The following is an 18284-nucleotide window of genomic DNA, read 5'->3' as shown; positions in this document are numbered from 1 at the left end:
AAAATCATTAAAAAAAAAAAAAAATTCAGTGGGTGTGATGGTGCGTGCCTGTAGTGCCAGCTCCTTGGGAGACAGGTGGGAACACTAGCCAGGGAGGTTGAATGCAGTGAGCTGTGGTTGTGTCACTACACCTCAGTCTGGATGACAAAGTGAGACCCTGTCTCAAAACAAAAAATTTAAAGCAAATTTTGGTCACTTAATGTTCACAGTAAGCTGCTATGTGGGTATTTGCAGATAATGACATGTAGGTAATAGATAGAAAATAAGATCTTAGAGCTCACATTTACACTGACAATGCCCATGTTTTCCCCACCACAATACAGTGCTCAGAAAAGTTAAACTTGCTGCCAGGTGATCTTTAGGGCCCAAAGGTCACCATTAATATTATTTTATTTTTAAAAGAAACTTTTGCTGGTGTAAGGACTTTGCTGTGCAACAAAGAATATGTGTATCTCCTGACCAGTTTTCTTTTATTACAATTGAGCCTAAATTTCCTGACTCCTCTGACAGCAACTAGGCTCCTGCTTGGGATGGTCTCTAACAAACAGTGGGAAGTAATCCTTAGAATCAGAGTAGATTCAAATCTCAGTTTTATTTATGTGTAAGGGGCTAGTTACTTAACCTTAATTCTTGAGGTCATTCACCTGTAAAAGAGGAGCTTCCATTTCACAGCTGACTGTAGGAAAAAAAAAATCAATGAATGAAATAATGCATTCTAAGGACTACCACACAAATGTTAATTCCTTGTAACCCTCCTCTCTTAAAATGAATTTTCAAGAAAGGGAGTAGCTGTGGACAAAGTCGTTCCAGGACACGGAGGAGGAGGTTTAGGGAGAACACAGTCCTTGGAGCCTTAAAAAGGCTTACAGATAAAAGCGTCTGAATGTAGCACCGGGAATTTTCATTTCTTTGCTCCAACTTCAGGCTATCCTGTTGCCTGTTCTTTGTCTTAAACCTCAATATGTTCAGCTAAGAAGATGGTAGAGTTCCTGATCTTGCCAAGAGGTAATATGTATAGCTACGTGAAGTAATCCAGTAATTATAAACTCAGTAAAATTTGTAGAGAAATCAGTGGACTTGCAAGGGGGATATGAGAACGTCTGGTAGCGATCTGCCATGGTTTAGAAATGCAACCAACAGAGGTGATTTCCTCCATCATATGCCGCTCCAACCATTTGCAAGCTAACAACGAACTAAAAGACGAGTTTCGCTTTCTCAGACCTTATTTTAGATTTAAGACTACCCCAAACTTGATTTCCACCCGGCTACTCCAAATCAAGGGCAATAGGATGATAAAGTGAAACTAAAAACGAAAACAAAATTTTAAGATGGTGGTGTGCGGGGAGAAGAAAAGTGGGGATCAATCTAGAACACGATTTTTCCTTAGCTGCTGAGTGAAATGTGTCATATTAAGCTGCATACGAGCTTACTCCTTGGTGACGCTTACAATCTATAGGGGAAAAAACAACGAACCTGGATTTTTTTTTGAGATGTCTCGCTCTTATACCCCAGGTTTGAGTGCAATGGCTCTATCTGGGCTCACTGCAACCTCCGCCTCCTGGGTTCAAACGATTCTCCTACCTCTGCCTCCCAAGTAGCTGGGATTAAGTTGCCTGCCACCACTCCCGGCTAATTTTTGTATATTTTAGTAGAGACAGGGTTTCACCATGTTGGCGAGGCTGGTCTCGAACTCCTGACCTCAGGTGACGCGACCGCCTCGGCCTCCCAAAGTGCTGGGATTACAGGCGTGAGCCACTGCGCCCGGCCGAACTTGGATGTTTCAGTAAACCCTTACTATCCCATGTGTTGCTTAGCCATTTTACCTTGCCAATGCCAAGTCTGGAAAATTACAGATCTTTAAATGACAACATGGGTGGCTCTTAGAAGAGCCTTTGGGTCGTTAGCGCTTTTACCCAGGTAACTAGTTTACTTGGAGCTGGTGTACTTGGTGACCGCCTTGGTGCCCTCCGACACCGCGTGTTTGGCCAGCTCCCCGGGTAGCAGCAGGCGCACAGCCGTTTGGATCTCCCTGGAAGTGATGGTCGAGCGCTTGTTATAATGCGCCAGGCGGGAAGCCTCGCCTGCAATGCGCTCGAAAATGTCGTTGACGAAGGAGTTCATAATCCCCATAGCCTTGGACGAGATGCCGGTGTCGGGGTGGACCTGCTTCAGCACCTTGTACACGTACACGGAATAGCTCTCCTTGCGGCTGCGCTTGCGCTTCTTGCCATCCTTCTTCTGTGCCTTGGTCACCGCCTTCTTGGAGCCCTTCTTCGGGGCGGGAGCTGACTTAGCTGGTTCAGGCATGTTCGCAGCCGAAGTGATACCGTCAAATGACCACAGGAAAATGCTGGTGAGCCCAAACGCCCTCATTATTTACCTCGTGTATATGCAAATGAGGCTGGCTGAGTTTCGGTTTCTCATTGGTTCTTTTAGTGTCTGAATATATGATAGGCCATTTCTGAACTCCTAAATCTCATCGGCTCTCCCAGAAGCTCAACCTTGCATAATTTGACCTTTCAACTATAAGTATGTAAGTCAGAAGTGGTTTTTTTTTTTTTTTTTTTTTTAAATTTTTTTAAACACCTGCTTTTCGATTGGCTGAAATCTGTGTTCAGGAGATAGCACAGTCTACTTTGCCGAATATAGATTATAAGAGTTTAGCTCTTGCGTTTTACTAGAATCAATCACTTTCCTTCTTCTAAACAAGTATTTAAATACTTCACTGCGTCTGGATGTGGAATGCAGGGCAGCAAAGCTCGCGCCAAGGCTAAAACGCACTCTTCCAGGGCTGGTCTCCAGTTTTCTGTGGGCCGAGTGCACCGCCTCCTCCGCAAGGGCAACTACGCCAAGCGGGTCCGGGCCGGTGCGCCGGTGTACCTGGAGGCGGTGCTGGAGTACCTGACCGCCAAGATCCTGGAGTTGGCGGGCAACGCGGCCCGAGACAAGAAGACCCGCGTCACCCCCCGACGCCTGCAGCTCGCCATCCACGACGAGAAGCTCAACAAGCTGTTGGGCAAAGTTACTATCGCGCAGGGCGGTGTCCTGCCCAATATTCAGGCCGTGCTGTTGCCCTGTCTATACAAGTGACTGACTAGGCAAACAGGACTAATGAGAAAATGTTTAATATCTCAAGTAAGTGCTTTAATGTAGTCGGGAAGAAGCAAGTTCAGTAACGTTTACAAAACCTTGTAAAGTTTAGATGGACAGGGCCACTGCAGTGTTCAAGTTATCCTGCAGAAGAGGCTAGTGGGGGTGGTATCCTGGAATATCATCAATAGGACCCAACGAAAAGTAAATGATAAGAGTCGTTGGAAAACCTAAAATTAGCCTGTGCCTTAAAAATTCTCAACCGAAGCAAAACACCATTTGGGACAAAATAGAATTCAGTTAACATTTGTTGCTCACTGTTGTATGTCGGTGACTTCTTGGCTCGTGATTTCCCAGGTACATCACCCAGGAATCCTGCCTTATAATGGTCAAAGGTTTCCAGCTAGCAGCAGTCCAGGTGACTCAAGAAAACGGCACAAGATAAACTTCTCAAAACGTGGTCCTCCGAATCTGGCCCCACAACACATCTACTGAATGAGAATTAGCGTCTTCCAAGTCTTAAAGTAGTCGTTTACGGACTACAGCTTGAGAAGCGCAGAATTAGAACTTTAAGAAGTTAACGTTCTTGGATCGCAGACTAACCGAGAAGAGAGGATTCAAAAATGAAGTGATTCATCCAATCAGATTTTCCAGTAATTCACCAATCACATCGTTGGACTCTTCAGCCAATGGTTTTGTTGCGCGGGTCTTTTGAAAATCAACAAGGCCAATTAGAATGTTTCTGAGTATATATAAGGGCAGTTTCCACTCTGCCAAGTGGCTGAGTTTTTCTTTCAGGTAGTCTGAGATGGCCCGCACCAAGCAGACTGCACGCAAGTCCACCGGTGGCAAAGCGCCGCGCAAGCAGCTGGCCACTAAGGCGGCTCGGAAAAGCGCGCCGGCCACCGGCGGCGTGAAGAAACCTCATCGCTACCGTCCCGGCACCGTGGCTCTGCGCGAGATTCGCCGCTATCAGAAGTCGACTGAGCTGCTGATCCGCAAGTTGCCTTTCCAACGCCTGGTGCGAGAAATCGCTCAGGACTTCAAGACAGATCTGCGCTTTCAGAGTTCCGCGGTGATGGCCCTGCAGGAGGCCTGCGAGGCCTACTTGGTGGGGCTCTTTGAGGATACCAACCTGTGTGCCATCCATGCTAAGCGAGTGACTATCATGCCCAAGGACATTCAGCTCGCTCGCCGCATTCGTGGGGAGAGAGCGTAGAGGTTTCCGGGCAGTAATTCTATCCAACTTAAAAAGGCTCTTTTAAGAGCCGCCTACTTTCACCCGAAAATAGCTGTGATTAACTAATCAAATCTTTGAAACTAAACATTGGTTTTAGTACTTAAGTCCTCATTTGATTGGCTAAAGTTAATGGTAAGCTTGCTATATTTGTTCCCGTGCTTTTTCCCGAAAGTGCCAGATTGTCAGCGTCCTTTTCTAAACTGGCTTTTAGGGGTTTGGAGCTTCGATTTGGTAGTGGAAGGGGCCACCTGGGGGCGTTTATATACATTGTCTCAAGCGTTAGTCGCGTTGTCTACTTACACCCATTATAGATGGGATTTTTTTTCGTTGTGTATTTCTGGTTAATCCCTTTTAAAACTTTACAGGTATGAGCATTGGCAGTTGAGAGTAGGTAGGGATATCCTTGGTTGCTGCTTTTTCGTGTCTGAAGCAGCTATTTCCACAATTCCCCCTTTTTTTAAACAGTTCTTGGTTTTTCTGTGAAATGATCCATTTTTTAATTCAATATTAGAAATTGGCGGCAGAAACGAAAGCCAGATTGGCCTCTACATTACTGGCAGCATGGGCATTACGTGGGAACTTGTTAGAAGCTCCCAGGGCATTACATGGGAGCTTGTTTCAATCCCCATCTAGGGCTGGAGTCAATCTGCATATACCTCAGATGATTCTCATGAACACTGATTTAGGAAGCCTAGGTTGTTGGTTTTGGTCTCATCAGTAAAGGCATCCTGCCTGTGAACTCTTACAAGGAGTGAGCTTTTGCAAAATGCATGTTTATTTATGTTACAGAATGAAATATTCTATGAAATGTTCTCTAAAGCAAGTGCACAGAACAATCCCCTAAAATAGTTTGATTTCTTTACAGATCAGTTTTCTCAATGTAACATTACAGTCACATGGGAAGGCTTTAGAAAAATCTTTACCTGGGGTTCAATGAGACTAATAGCAATCTAGAGTGGGCCCAGGGAATGGTAATTATTAAAATTCAGGTGCTTCTAACAGCTGGGGCTGAGACTCCTTGCTACATAAATTTTAATACTCTTATTAGCTCTGGTTTGACTCTAGGCTTAGCAGTTTTCTAATTGAATCAGTTTCCTTGTAGTTTGCCTTCAGAGAGAATATACTGGTCTCTAAAGACTTTCTGGCTTGCTTGACTATCTTTCAACACCTGGCTTTTATAAGAATTTCTTAGGGCAACACTAATGTAAGTTTTTTCTTTTTTGTTTTGTTTTGTTTTTTGTTTTTTTGAACCACCGAGGTCCTTTTAGTGATTGGAAGTATCAGGTTTTTAGGGATGTTACAAGGAGGAACACATACCATCCTGGGCTGCTTGGCATACAACCAAGATATGTTTTCATATAGAACCCTTCCTTTACAGATTAGCACAAGGCCCTGTTTGGGTATTCAGCAGATCCTTCTTTATGATCTTTATTAATTTAGCAACTTGTCATTTTTTTTCACATATTGCTTTTATTTTAAAAACTTATTTGACATTCCAGAATATATGGGAAAGGAGATAATAGTTTAATAAAACCTATGTTCCTCTCATCCAGCTTCAATAACAACATTGGCTAAGTGTTTTATCTATTGATTTTTGTAAAGCAAATAATGAAACTGCCTAATGGGTTCACCTTGCCCACTGCCTAGACAAAGCTGATTTATCTAGGCAGGGAATTGCAATAGAGAAAGTAATTCACGCCGAGCCAGCTGTGCGGGAGACCGTAGTTTTATTGTTACTCAAATCAGTCTCCCCAGCATTCCAGATGGGGGGGAAGCCGATGAACCAGGAGTCCTGATTGGTCAGGTCAGAGATGTCATTATAGGGAGCTGAAGGTGTCTCCTTGGGCTGAGTCAGTTTCTGGGTGGAGGCCACAAGATCGGATGAGTCAGTTTACCAATCTGGGTGGGGCCAACTGATCCATCAGGTCTGCAAAATATCTCAAGCACTGATCTTAGGAGCAGTTTACGTGGGGTCAGAATCTTGTAGGTTCCAGCTGCAGGACTCCTAAACCATAATGTGTGTGTTTTTTTTTTTCTTTGAGACAGTCTCACTGCGTTGCCCAGGATGGAGACTGTAAACTCTGCCTCCCAGGTTCGAGCGATTCTCCTGTTCAGCCTCCCAAGCAGCTGGGATTACAGGCGCGCGCCACCATGCCCAGCCAATTTTTGTAGTTTTAGTAGAGACGAGGTTTCCTCATATTGGCCAGGCTGGTCTCGAACTCTGGACCTCAAGTGATCCACCCGCTTTCGCCTCCCAAAATGTTGGGATTACAGGCGTGAGCCATTACGACCTACCCCTAAACCATAATTTCTAATCTTGTGAGTAATTTGTTAGTCCTACAAAGGCAGTCTAGTCCCCAGGCAAGGAGGTTTGTTTTGGGAAAGGGCTGTTATCATATTAGTTTTAAACTATAAACTAAGTTCCTCCCAAAGGTAGTTCAGCCTACACCCAGGAGTGAACAAGGACAGCTTGAAGGTTAGAAGCAAGATGGAGTTGGTTAGGTCAGATCTCTTTGTCTCAGTTACAATGTTGCAATGACAATTTCAATATCATTTCATCTATTTTATATATGTTATCTGCTATTTAACACCTTATTATGGACCAGGTGCCTTGGCTCACTCCTGTAATCCCAGCACTTTGGGAGGCCGATGTGGGAGGATCACATGAGGTTAATTCTTGACAAACCTGGCCAACTTGGTGAAACCCCATCTCTACTAAAAATATAAAAATTAGCTGGACCGGGCCTGGTGGTGCACGCCTGTAATCCCAGCTACTGGGGAGGCTGAGGTAGGAAAATCTCTTGAACCTGGGAGGCGGAGGTTGTAGTGAGCCAAGATCATGCCACTACACTCCAGCCTGGTGACAGAGCGAGACTCCATCTCAAAAATAAAAACAAAAATAAATTATGATGCCATCATTACTTTTATAACAAATAGTATTTCTTTTTTAAAAATTTAATATGATCCATTTTGGTTGACATATTTCTTCAACATTGATTTTTATTTACTGCAAACAACACTGGTTGAGAATTTACAATGTACCAGATGCTGGTCTGTGCATTGGAAATACACCCAGAGAACAAAACACAAAATTTTTGCTTTCATGGAATTTACATTTGAGTCTGGAATAGACAGAAAATAAACTAGATATGTTTATGTAATATGTTAGATGGTGAGAAGGAAAAAAAAATAGAGCAAGACTAAGGAGTGTCATGGGAAGCTGAAATTTAGATAAGGCAACCAATGAAGACCCCACTAAGAAGATAATATTTCAGCAAAGAGCTGAAAGGTGAGGAAGCAACCTGTGCGGATGTGTTCAGGGAGAAAAGGAGGGAGACTCCTGAGGCACCATGGTGACTATGGGGAATGAGCAGGGGACAGTAGGAAATGAAGGTGGAGAAAGGGCAGAATAATTTTCCCTTCAATTCCCACCTCACACAGGTTCTTAGTTGAAACAAACCCATGTAACAAAAGACAGATTCACAAATGAAAAACAAGCAGAAGTGTATTAACATATATATTACATATACATGAATGACACCTAGGGAATGAGTACACATTGAGGTGGCTTTGAATTCCAGCTTTTGTGTAGTGTCTTCAACAAAGAACAGTGAATTTTTAGATAATTTAGAAGACGAAGGAGAAGTACTTTGAGTGTCCAGGGGCGGCAATGTTGGGGAAAGCAAACATAGATAAAGGGTAGTTAGTAAAGCTTGCTTTATAGAATCTTCTGGTGCATCACCAGGCCCATAAGAGTGAAAGCTCTTTTCTGTACTTCTTTTGTTCTCCCCAATAGTGTAAACCAAAAAGTGACCGAGCAGATCTCCACTGATTCACAGGTTTATTTTTGCCAAGGTTGAAGATGCATCTAGGAGAAAGAAACACAAGTTACACAAAGTCTATGGCCTGTGAGGCCCAGGTGGGCAGATCACTTGAGGTCAGGAGTTCGAGACCAGTTTGGCCAACATGGCGAAACTCCATCTCTACTTAAAAAATACCAAAAAATTAGCCATGCATGGTTGCACGTACCTGTAGTCCCAGCTGCTCTGAAGGCTGAGGCATGAGAATCGTTTGTACCTGGGAGGTGGAGGTTGCAGTGAGCCGAGATCATACCACTGCCCTCCAGTCTGGGCGACAGAGTGAGACTCTGTCTCAAAAAAAAAAAAAAAAAAGAGTTTAGTATATTCTTATATAAAAAAGACGTAGAAAAGTTAAAATGGATAAAGGGAATGACTGCCAGAGGACAGGAGGGAATGTGGTAGACAGCTGTAATTTTAAAAATGGTGGATGGGGAAGAACTCACAACTGAGATAAGACTGGGAAAAGAAAATAACTTTTTTTTTTTTTTGTACAGACGAGGCTTCACTATGTTGCTCAGGCAAGTCTCAAACTCTTGTGCTCAAGGGATCCTCTCACTTTGGCCTCCAAAAGTGCTGGGGCTACCAGACCTGAGCTACCACACCAGGCCAAGAAAATAACTTTCATCTGAGGAATGGGAGTCATTTTAAATTATCAGGCCCACAGTAACATTAAAATGAGACAGCAATCACAACCTACTCCCCTCTTTGAGCTATGTATTCATCTCTAGATACTGCTTGTTATTGTTATAAGTAGCTATAAGTTTATCTAATAATGCCACATCCCACACTGTAACCCACACCCTGTAGCTTTACAATGTATAGCCAATAACTAATTAATGCTATTTCTGTAAACCAAGGAAAATTCCTGACAAAAAATTTTGTATCAGCCCACCTTCTGTCCCCCCTTTTTTGCCTTTAAAAACCTATTTTTAACAAAGGCCAGTGGAGCTCATATCCAAGATTACTTGGGCCTGAGATTTCTGAGCTGCTGTGCTGACTTTGGCTCAAGTAAATTCTTTTTTTTTTTTTTTTTTTTGAGACAGAGTCTTGCTCTGTCACCCAGGCTGGTGTGATCTTGGCTCACTGGGTTAACGCCATTCTCCTGCCTCAGCCTCCACAGTAGCTGGGACTACAGTGCCCGCCACCATGCCCGGCTAATTTTTTGGTATTTTTAGTAGAGACAGGGTTTCACCATGTTAGCCAGGATGAGTCTCCATCTCCTGACCTTGTGATCCTCCCGCCTCGGCCTCCCAAAGTGCTGGGATTACAGGCATGAGCCACCGTTCCTGGCGCCAATTCTTTTTTTTTTTTGAGACGGAGTCTTGCTCTGTCACCCAGGCTGGTGTGCAGTGGTGCGATCTCGGCTCACTGCCACCTCTGCCTCCTGGGTTCAAGTGATTCTCCTGCCTTAGCCTCCTGAGTAGCTGGGACTACAGGCGCATGCCCCCATACCTGGCTAATTTTTGTATTTTTAGTAGAGACGGGGTTTCACCATGTTGGCCAGAATGGTCTCCATCTCCTGACCTCGTGATCCACCCTCCTTGGCCTCCCAAAGTGCTGGGATTACAGGCGTTAGCCACCGCGCCCGGCCATAAATTCTTTAAGTTATGATTTGTGCCTCTGCATCTTTCTTTTAGGCCAACAAGGCTGAAGGAAATCAACTATTTCATCCCCAAGTATACTTCTTTGACATATTTTGAGATGGCTCTTTGGAGGGTCTGCAAACAGAAGTTGCCCTGCAGAGCTGCCTTTTGTGGAGATGTGCATCTGTAGAGAAAACCTGCTTTGGTGCTGCCAGGGTTTTTTTCTGAGGCTTTACCTTGTCCAATCTAGGAAAGATTAAGTGTCTGACACCAGGCTGGGCGCAGTGGCTCACGCCTGTAATCCCAGCATTTTGGGAGGCCGAGGCAGGCAGATTTGAGGTCAGGAGTTAGAGACCAGCCTGGGCCAATGTAGCGAAACCCCGTCTCTACTAAACACACAAAAATTAGCTGGGCATGGTGGTGGGCGTCTGTAATCCCCGCTAGTCAGGCGGCTGAGGCAGGAGAATTGCTTGAACCCAGGAGGCGGAGGTTGCAGTGAGCCGAGATTGTGCCATTGCACTCCAGCCTGTGCAACAGCGCGAGACTCCCTCTCAAAAAAAAAAAAAAAATCTGAGTCTGACACCTTTAAAGGTCTGAAAGAAACATTTACTATATATGTATTCTTCTTGAGGGCTGTTACCTATGAGTTTTCATCTACATAACAAGACCACCTTTGTTAGCAAAGCCCTCCCATAACCTGTCTTGCATGATTGACCACCCTAACCTGTTTTTGGCCATGCTCTGAGTCCCCATTCTTTAACCTAAAGATGGCATTTAAGCTTCTGTACCCCCTGCTGGGGTTGGGGTAATTACTCTGTGGTTCTCCCTCCTGCATGTTAATAAACTTGTGTGCCTTTCTCTCCTATTAATCTGTTTTTTGGTAATTGATTTTTGAGAAAAACTTCAGAGGGTGAAGGCGAAGATTTTTCTTGGTCCTGACAAGACTGAGCAGAGAAGAGAGTGAGTTCTTTATACAGCTGTAGGAAGATCATACCAGAGAGAAGAAACATTGATTCATGGATCCTGAGTTGGGTGCATATTTGGGCTATGGACATTGTTCTGATAGCCAACTACATAAAACCAGGGCCTTTGTTTTTCTTAAGCTGGAATTTCCAGGTAACTCAGTACTGATTTATACTTTTTTTTTTTGAGACGGAGTTTCGTTCTTGTTGCCCAGGCTGGAGTGCAATGGCACGATCTCGGCTCTCTGCAACCTCCGCCTCCCGGGTTCAAGTGATTCTCCTGCCTCAGCCTCCTGAGTAGCTGGGATTACAGGCATGTGCCACAATGTCCAGCTAATTTTTGTATCTTTAGTAGAGATGGGGTTTTGCCATGTTAGTCAGGCTTGTTTCCAACTCCTGACCTCAGGTGATCCACCCACCTTGGCCTCCCAAAGTGCTGGGATTACAGGAGTGAGCCACCGCGCCCTGCCTTCTTTTTTTTTTTTTTTTTTTTTTGAGACAGAGTCTCACTCTGTTGCCCAGGCTGGAGTGCAGTGGCAGGATCTCGGCTCACTGTAACCTCCGCCTCCCAGGTTCAAGCACTTCTCCCTGCCTCAGCCTCCCAAGTAGCTGGGAATACAGGTGCCTGCACGCCTGGCTAAGTTTTGTATTTTTTTTTTTAGTAGAGATGTGGTTTCGCCATGTTGGCCAGGTTGGTCTTGAACTCCTGACCTCAGGTGATCTCCCCACCTTGGCCTCCCAACGTGCTGGGATTACAGGCATGAGCCACTGAACCCGGCCTGATTCATACATTTTAATTTTTCAAACGTGTTGCTCCAGATACCCAAGGACATTCAGTTAAGACAGTGAATCAAGAGGCAGGGGCAGGAAAAGATAAGCAATGAGTGCTAACCCCATGGAAGACTGCTCGCCTTATTCAAGGATACCAGTAGTTAAGGAAAGAGTATTATTATATGATAATTTATTTAAAATAAAAAATAAGAGATCTGCAAAATTGCTATCATTTTACTTTTCACATGAAAGAAACCAATGTAATCTTTACAAGGCTTTATATGCTGTAACATTTTCTGAGATTTCATTATACTAGATATCTACGGATGAGCTCCAAAGTACAAAGAAAACTGCTCCTACTAGCAACAGAACTCCACATTAAAATTTCTATAATGGTTATAATGTGATGGCCGAATCCATAATAAAACAAAATTAAATTATGATGAAGATGATACATGTTCCCAGCTACTGATTTTGAGCCCTAGATAAACCTTGACAAAAAATTGAGAGATCACATTTCTTCTTAATCCTTCATATTGAGTGAGACTATTGTCCGATATGAGATCCAGGGATTTTATTTATGATTATAACTGTCAAAAATGGACTATCAATTACTTTCACTTTTTTGGTTAAGTGCAGTTAGAGGAAAAAAGACATATCTGGTGTCTTACAAAATTTACCCAGATTATTCTACGAGACTTTTGGGGAGCAATGTCAATATTATAGAGTCTCTGTTTTCTCCTTGAGCTTTTCTTTTCTTATTTTTCTTTTCTCTTTTCTTTTCCTTTTCTTTTTCTTTTTTTTTTCTTTGAGACAGTCTTGCTCTGTTATCCAGGCTGGACTGCAGTGGCATGATCCTAGCTCACTGAAGTCTCAAACTCCTTGCCTCAAGCAATCTTCCCACCTCTCTCTCCCAAAGTGTTGGATTACAGGCATGAGCCATCACCCCCGGCCGCCTTACTGATTTTATTTAATTTTTTTTTCTTTAAATATAGAGATGAGGTCTCGTTATATTACCCAGGCTGGTCTTGAACTCCTGGGCTCAAGTGATCCTCCTGCCTCAGCATCCCAAAGTGCTGCAATTATAGATGTGAGTCACCGCATCCAACCCTCCTTATGCTTTTCTAATGGAGGACCCAAGAGGCAACATATCCAATGAAACTACCTCATCCTTATGGTCACATCCACATTTGAAAGATCACTAGGCTGTGGACAGAAGTTCTACTGCTGATAGATGTGAATATAGCTTCCTCTCCTCTGGTTAACTCTTAAGAAGTCCACATTTTGCTTTGTTTCTCTCCATGAAATCTTATGTTTCTTTTACAGATGAAGTGTTTTGACCTGAAGATTCATCCAGCAACAAGTGAATGCATTTCCTTTTAGAAATTAAGAATCTAGACCCTTCTTTGGTGCAGAGCATACTAGTTAAGATAAATACAAGTTTATTTTCTGCGGATATGAGGTTCAAAAAGGGTATTCTAGATCAGCAGGTCCCTCTTTCTTCTAGCAGTGGTTCTGGAACCTAGATGCCCTCTGTCTTTGTGGCTTAGCCATCCTAAATGTGGCTTCTACATTTGCCCTGCAAGGGGAAAGAACATGGAAAAATCCTTCGTGGAAAGTTATTATGTCCCAGGCCTGGAAATGTCAATCTTTACTTGTGTTTATGTTCCATTGGCAGGAACTTAGCTAAAAGGCCACACCTAACTGGAAGAGAAGTTGAAAATAGAGGTTTCAACGTGGGCCCCAAAGAAGAAAAAGGTTAAATTAATGACCAGAATTAATAAAAGGCATATGAAATTATTAACGTGTACACTGCAGAGGGGGGTGGATAGAGTGATCACCCAATACTGCAATTGGACATAGATGTTTATTCTACTTCCTAGGGAAATGGGAGCTTGAGAAGTGTTTTTAGGGATATAATAAATGATTTGTAGGGGAATTCAATGGGCTTGAAGAACATGCAAGGGCCTGGGACAATGTCTGTTAGGGCTGCAGAGTAGACAGTGGTTTGTGACAAAATCTATCTAGGTTTGTTGACAGGCTTGTGTTTCTCCCTGTGATATTAGTTCATTTAATGAAAACTCAGAGTAGAGACTAAAGATAATTGTATTCTTTGGCAGGTTTGGACTTTAGGCAGATAAGGAACTTCTGAAAACAACTTCATCCTGTGCTTTGGGAGACGGAAAGGATTGAGAGACAGGAGGGGTGGGGAGAAGGTCAGAGAGACCTTGTAGCTTCTTCAGTTCAGCATGTCAAAGTGCAATATTTTGGGATATCAGTTTCTGAGCCCCAGCAGTGTCATATATCTTTGATTTTAGATATCCTCTCTTGCTCTAAATCCATTTCCAGAAAATCTGCTTATCTTCTGAAGTTGCTGTGCAGAAGCCCCCATTTTGTTCTTGATACTGGTAGAAAGAAAAGTGAAATAGAAGTCAGAATTCTTTGTTAGACCCAACTCTAACTAAGCTTGAGCAATCGCCTCATCATTACGAAAATCCATTGTTTCTATTTTGTAAATGAGGAAACAAGCTGAATGTTTCTGCATAATGCCTAAAGTCATCCAGTTAATAAAAATGATGTAACAAATTTCAACCCGGGTAGTGGGTCTCAAAACTCTCCTAATGTTAAGCATATTCCACTGCTGTGCTATAGTTTGTGAAAATAAATAAAATATGATGTGATGGTGCATTCCTGTAGCCCGTCCTACTCTGGAGGCTGAGGTGGGAGAGTCATTAGAGATATGAGCTGGAGGCTGCAGTGAGCTATGATTGTGCCACTGCACTCCAGGCTGGGTGACAAAATGAGACCTCATTTCCTTAAGAAAAAAAAACACACAAAAAAACCAGCTGTTGGAATTCCCAAAACACATTAAGCTTGAGAGAGATGAGATAACTTGAGTTCTCTTTTTTCTTGTTATATACAATGTCATGTCCAGAATTAAGCAACATTAGGCATTAGGGACAAAAGTCTCCTGCCTTTTTTTTTTTTTTTTGAGACGGAGTCTCACTCTATCAGCCAAGCTGGAGTGCAGCGGCATGATCTTGGCTCACTGCAACCTCTGCCCCTTGGTTCAAGCAATTCTCCTGCCTCAGCCTCCCGAGTAGCTGGGATTACAGGCACCTGCCACCATACCCGGCTAATTTTTGTATTTTTTAGTAGAGATGGGGCTTCACCATCTTGGCCAGGCTGGTCTTGAACTCCTGACCTCGTGGTCCACCCACCTCGGCCTCCCAAAATGCTGGTGTGAGCCAACTTGCCTGGCCCTGGCTTCTTAATTAATGATCCTTGTTTAACCTCCCCTTTGTTGTCCTGCTTTGCGGGGTCTGCCCCACAGACACTGGCTGACTGATGGATGAAAGGAGTACTCACACACAGGTATGCAGTGTAGCAGCTAGGGGACTGCCTGGATCAAGTGGCCAAAGTGCAGCCCCCAGAAGCTGGAGCTGCTTGCTTTTATTCAGTGCAGGCAGAATGCCGAAAGCCTGGAGCAAACACAATCTGTGGGTAATTAACATATTGTTCCCCTTTCAGGGGACGTCAGTCACACGGATGTTCAAAGTTCAATTCCTGGACAACTTCAAACGAACAAACCTGATCAAGATAATTTCACCTTCACCCCCTTGCACATACTCCTCACCCTCTGCTTCAGGGTTAGAGAACAGCTGCCTTTAGCTATTCTTCCCCGAAGCTATGCAGAGCCTTCTGACCCTTCAGAAGGCCTGCTCCTTTCCTTACAGTTTCTCTCACCACTCTGACTGATCTCCTACATCTCCCCCTTTTCTGTTTTTGCATCAGGTTTTGTTGATTGAAGAATACAGATGTGTGCAGTGACAAGCTTGACAGGTGCAGCGGTTACAGCTTGTGTTCCAGCTTTGCATCCCAGAAGCAGTAGGTAACATAAGACAAGCGTGAGTATAATCAGTAATATTCATTTCCAATCAAAGAGTGACCCACAGGAGTGGGGGTCTATCCAGGAGAGGTGATTTTGCACATTGTTCTATAGGGCTGTTACTGAGGAACCCCACCAGGGGTATGTTTATCCCTCCTACCCAAGCAGTCACATTGGTAGAAGCTGGGAAGGGGGTGTCTGCCCAAGTAACAGGGCGGAAGAAAGGTGGATCTAGAAGATGGGCCTAATAGAGTGTAGCAGGTACGAGTTGCAGGCAGAGTGAGAGAATAAGAAAAACCAATACCCTGCGAGTGTTGCAATGTACAACGGAGGGCATAGCAAGGAACAGATTATCTGGAGTGAATGGTGTTTGTGTCTGGAGCAGGATTTGCTCAGCTTCCTGAGTTGTCTTCTTCAGCATAATGTCCGGGGCCTGTGTCGTCCGAGGAAGCCGCATCGTTTTGGGGCTGCAGGTCCTGCAGGGTCATTTCCTTTATTTTTGGTACCGGGTTGGGTTCCAGCCATGCCATGGTATGGTTTCATATGTCGCGCAGAAATCCAAAGAGGACCTGAGGGGGTGTGAACACAAGCATATCCTCTTCCCCACGTTAACAAATCATTTGGACCTCACCATAGCTTACTATTTACATCTTTCCATAAAAAGTAAAGGTTTTATGTTTTGAAAGGTTTTTGCAAAGTGCTTTTCTATGGCTGATTGAAATTTATCGTTTAAATTTAGGAAGTTAAGGGTAAATAAGCCTTGTGCTAGTAGTGTTGCAGGGTCCTTACTCATATTCCCCCTTTTCTGTTTTATGGCTTGTCCTTATATAGAAAGGGGTTCTTTTCCTGAGTTACTTTGGTCTTTACTATTGGGGCATTCCCGCTTCATATGACCTGGCTTTCCTCACTGAAAACAATTTGGATTTTTATCCCTTTTTACTTTTGGAGGCTTTAATGCCATAGCCAATATTCTGGCTTTGTGTGTTTCAGTCCCCACCAGCTGACATGCTCGTATGAGTTCCCCTACTGTAGCTGCTTTCCCTGTGACTGCTTGCATTGCTTGCTGGCAATCCACATTAACATTTTCATGGGCCAATTGCAACAATAAGATATCAGCGGTCTTGGCATGACTAATTTGTCTCTTAATTGCCTGGGTTAACTGATAGATAAATTCAACAAATGGCTCCTAACGACCTTGTGGAACATTTATAAAAGATCCCTGTTGAACTCTACCTTCGGGAATTTGGTCCCAGGCCCTGTGAGTGCACAAAGACAGTAGCGCATAGGCTTGAGGGACAAAATTTAATTGTTGTTGTACATTAACATAGGGACCCCTCCCCTGGAGCATAGCAGCTGATGTTCTGTCCTGCCAATTGATTCTGGTTAGCCTGTTGTTTGCACAATTCATTATATTCTGCCCTCTAGAGGAGGTATTGATGGGCCTCTAAAGTTGTTTTAGCTAGCACTGACCAGTCCCATGGAGTCAATATGGTAGTTATCTGCTATGACCTCAATTAATCCTCTTGTGAATGGGCTAGCAGGTCCATTTTCTCTAATGCTTTTCCTGATTTCCTTAAAAGTGTTGAAAGTAATAGGCTCATGTACCCAATTGGCCTGTTGATCTTCCATCACAGGACAAGCCAGGAGCTCCCCTTCTAATGCTGCTTGCCTAAGACAGGGTCCCATAACTGTAGTATATCTCTTGTCTTCTTCCCGATTTATTGGGGGAGGGGAATTAGGAAAATCCTCCGTCTCCTCTTTGGTATCTTTACCCGGGTAATGGCGGGGCTGAGGGAGGAGGAGGAGGCAGTAAGGTAGATGATGGTTCTTCCTCCCCTCCTTTTTTAGGCTCTTCTGTGTAGAGCAGGGCCAAAGCAGCCCTAACTAAAGCCCATAACATTAAAGATGTTACTGGGACCTGTTGCCCTTGTACATAATGTTGTTTAAGATTTCTTCCCAATTGCTCCCAGAGCCCTAGGTCTAGTGTGCCTTCTTCTGGGAACCATGGGTTATGGAATACAACAGTTTGCATTACATCCCTTAATTGAGCCTCCGAAACCAAGTCTCCACTAGCTTTAAGCAGCTGTTTCAATACTTTTATCTACTGTTGCTGTTGAGCTTATAACTGTTGTCCCATGATGAAACCCTAGCTTGAAAATCCCCTCGAACTTAGAAATCCCCAGTGGGGACCAATTACTTACTGAGCAGTCACTTTATTTTTGAGGGTTCAGTCCAGATCCGTTGCAGCATTCCTCATACAGGGCACCACTTGCCGGATCTGTCCTGCAGACCCTGGCTGACTGATGGATGAAAAGAGTACTCACACACAGCTATGCAGTGTGTAAGAGCAGCTAGGAGACTGCCTGGCTCAAGTGGCCAAAGTGCAGCCCCGAGAAGCTGGAGCTGCTTGCTTTTATTCAGTGCAGGCAGAATGCCGAAAGCCTGGGGCAAACACAATCTGTGGGTAATTAATATTTATTGTTCCCCTTTCAGGGAATGTCACGCACACACGCACACACGGATGTTCAAAGGTCAATTCCAGGATAACTTCAAACAAGCCTGATCAAGATAATTTCCCCTTGCTCCCTTGCACTTGCTCCTTACCCTCTGCCTCAAGGTTAGAGAACAGTTGCCTTCAGCTATTCTCCCCTGAAGTTGTGCAGAGCCTTGCTAAAAGCTCCTCTAACTTTATAAACGAAATCTGAACTTCCCTATTTCAGAATGCTATCTCTATCACTTTGGAATTGGTATTTCCAGGTGTTCAATCCTTATGCTTTGTGCTTGAATAAATTCTTTATATTCTTCAGTGTGCAAGAAGAAGGGCTTAAACAAAAACAAGAAAAATATATTCTGACCTTTTTGGTTATTTTTGTTTGATAAGTTGTTTTC

The 18284-nt window shown here is 43.8% G+C and overlaps 2 protein-coding genes, 1 long non-coding RNA gene and 1 pseudogene across 5 annotated transcripts, besides 8 other annotated features; 2 read left to right on the top strand and 2 right to left on the bottom strand.

Moving 5' to 3' along the window:
• Positions 1262 to 1421: an enhancer, noted in NCBI's record as "active region_24232". NCBI's record gives its function as "activates an Ori minimal core promoter by ATAC-STARR-seq in GM12878 lymphoblastoid cells {active_cell/tissue: GM12878}" and the evidence as "EXISTENCE:reporter gene assay evidence [ECO:0000049][PMID:35858748]".
• Positions 1832 to 1881: an enhancer, noted in NCBI's record as "active region_24231". NCBI's record gives its function as "activates an Ori minimal core promoter by ATAC-STARR-seq in GM12878 lymphoblastoid cells {active_cell/tissue: GM12878}" and the evidence as "EXISTENCE:reporter gene assay evidence [ECO:0000049][PMID:35858748]".
• On the bottom strand, positions 1871 to 2352 carry H2BC10 (H2B clustered histone 10). The gene has a single exon (NM_003525.3). The coding sequence runs from the start codon at positions 2305 to 2307 to the stop codon at positions 1927 to 1929; it is 381 nt and encodes a 126-aa protein (NP_003516.1). The 5' UTR covers positions 2308 to 2352; the 3' UTR covers positions 1871 to 1926.
• Positions 1892 to 2021: an enhancer, noted in NCBI's record as "active region_24230". NCBI's record gives its function as "activates an Ori minimal core promoter by ATAC-STARR-seq in GM12878 lymphoblastoid cells {active_cell/tissue: GM12878}" and the evidence as "EXISTENCE:reporter gene assay evidence [ECO:0000049][PMID:35858748]".
• Positions 2092 to 2431: an enhancer, noted in NCBI's record as "active region_24229". NCBI's record gives its function as "activates an Ori minimal core promoter by ATAC-STARR-seq in GM12878 lymphoblastoid cells {active_cell/tissue: GM12878}" and the evidence as "EXISTENCE:reporter gene assay evidence [ECO:0000049][PMID:35858748]".
• On the top strand, positions 2743 to 3090 carry H2AC10P (H2A clustered histone 10, pseudogene; annotated as a pseudogene).
• Positions 2762 to 3101: an enhancer, noted in NCBI's record as "active region_24228". NCBI's record gives its function as "activates an Ori minimal core promoter by ATAC-STARR-seq in GM12878 lymphoblastoid cells {active_cell/tissue: GM12878}" and the evidence as "EXISTENCE:reporter gene assay evidence [ECO:0000049][PMID:35858748]".
• Positions 3870 to 4365, top strand: H3C8 (H3 clustered histone 8). The gene has a single exon (NM_003534.3). It carries the CDS (start codon positions 3899 to 3901, stop codon positions 4307 to 4309), a length of 411 nt encoding a protein of 136 aa, NP_003525.1. The 5' UTR covers positions 3870 to 3898; the 3' UTR covers positions 4310 to 4365.
• Positions 4829 to 4968: an enhancer, noted in NCBI's record as "active region_24227". NCBI's record gives its function as "activates an Ori minimal core promoter by ATAC-STARR-seq in GM12878 lymphoblastoid cells {active_cell/tissue: GM12878}" and the evidence as "EXISTENCE:reporter gene assay evidence [ECO:0000049][PMID:35858748]".
• Positions 5742 to 6338: an enhancer, noted in NCBI's record as "OCT4-NANOG-H3K27ac hESC enhancer chr6:26269173-26269769 (GRCh37/hg19 assembly coordinates)". NCBI's record gives its function as "activates a minimal SCP1, AML or CMV promoter by ChIP-STARR-seq in naive H9 embryonic stem cells {active_cell/tissue: H9 hESC(naive)}" and the evidence as "EXISTENCE:reporter gene assay evidence [ECO:0000049][PMID:30033119]".
• On the bottom strand, positions 13355 to 17783 carry LOC105374986 (uncharacterized). Of its 3 annotated transcripts, none has more exons than XR_001744055.2 (3): positions 15700 to 17783; positions 14876 to 14988; positions 13355 to 13911 (listed from the first exon to the last, which is right to left on the bottom strand). It is a non-coding gene; the product is annotated as an uncharacterized LOC105374986 (long non-coding RNA). The 3 variants fall into 3 exon arrangements; XR_926613.3 differs by having other exon boundaries at positions 14876 to 15964; positions 17597 to 17783; XR_001744053.2 differs by having other exon boundaries at positions 14876 to 17783.
• Positions 16733 to 16822: a silencer, noted in NCBI's record as "silent region_17002". NCBI's record gives its function as "represses an Ori minimal core promoter by ATAC-STARR-seq in GM12878 lymphoblastoid cells {active_cell/tissue: GM12878}" and the evidence as "EXISTENCE:reporter gene assay evidence [ECO:0000049][PMID:35858748]".
• Positions 17784 to 18284: the final 501 nt, after the last annotated feature.

This window comes from Homo sapiens, chromosome 6 (assembly GCF_000001405.40).
Source record: "Homo sapiens chromosome 6, GRCh38.p14 Primary Assembly".
Lineage (NCBI taxonomy): Eukaryota > Metazoa > Chordata > Mammalia > Primates > Hominidae > Homo > Homo sapiens.
The sequence above is the reverse complement of the archived record's forward strand: the minus strand, read 5'-3'. Positions and strand labels throughout refer to the sequence as shown.

Coding starts and splice junctions, on each gene's coding strand:
- H2BC10 (NM_003525.3), bottom strand. CDS start 2,307: ATGCCTGAACCAGCTAAGTCAGCTCCCGCCCCGAAGAAGGGCTCCAAG.
- H3C8 (NM_003534.3), top strand. CDS start 3,899: ATGGCCCGCACCAAGCAGACTGCACGCAAGTCCACCGGTGGCAAAGCG.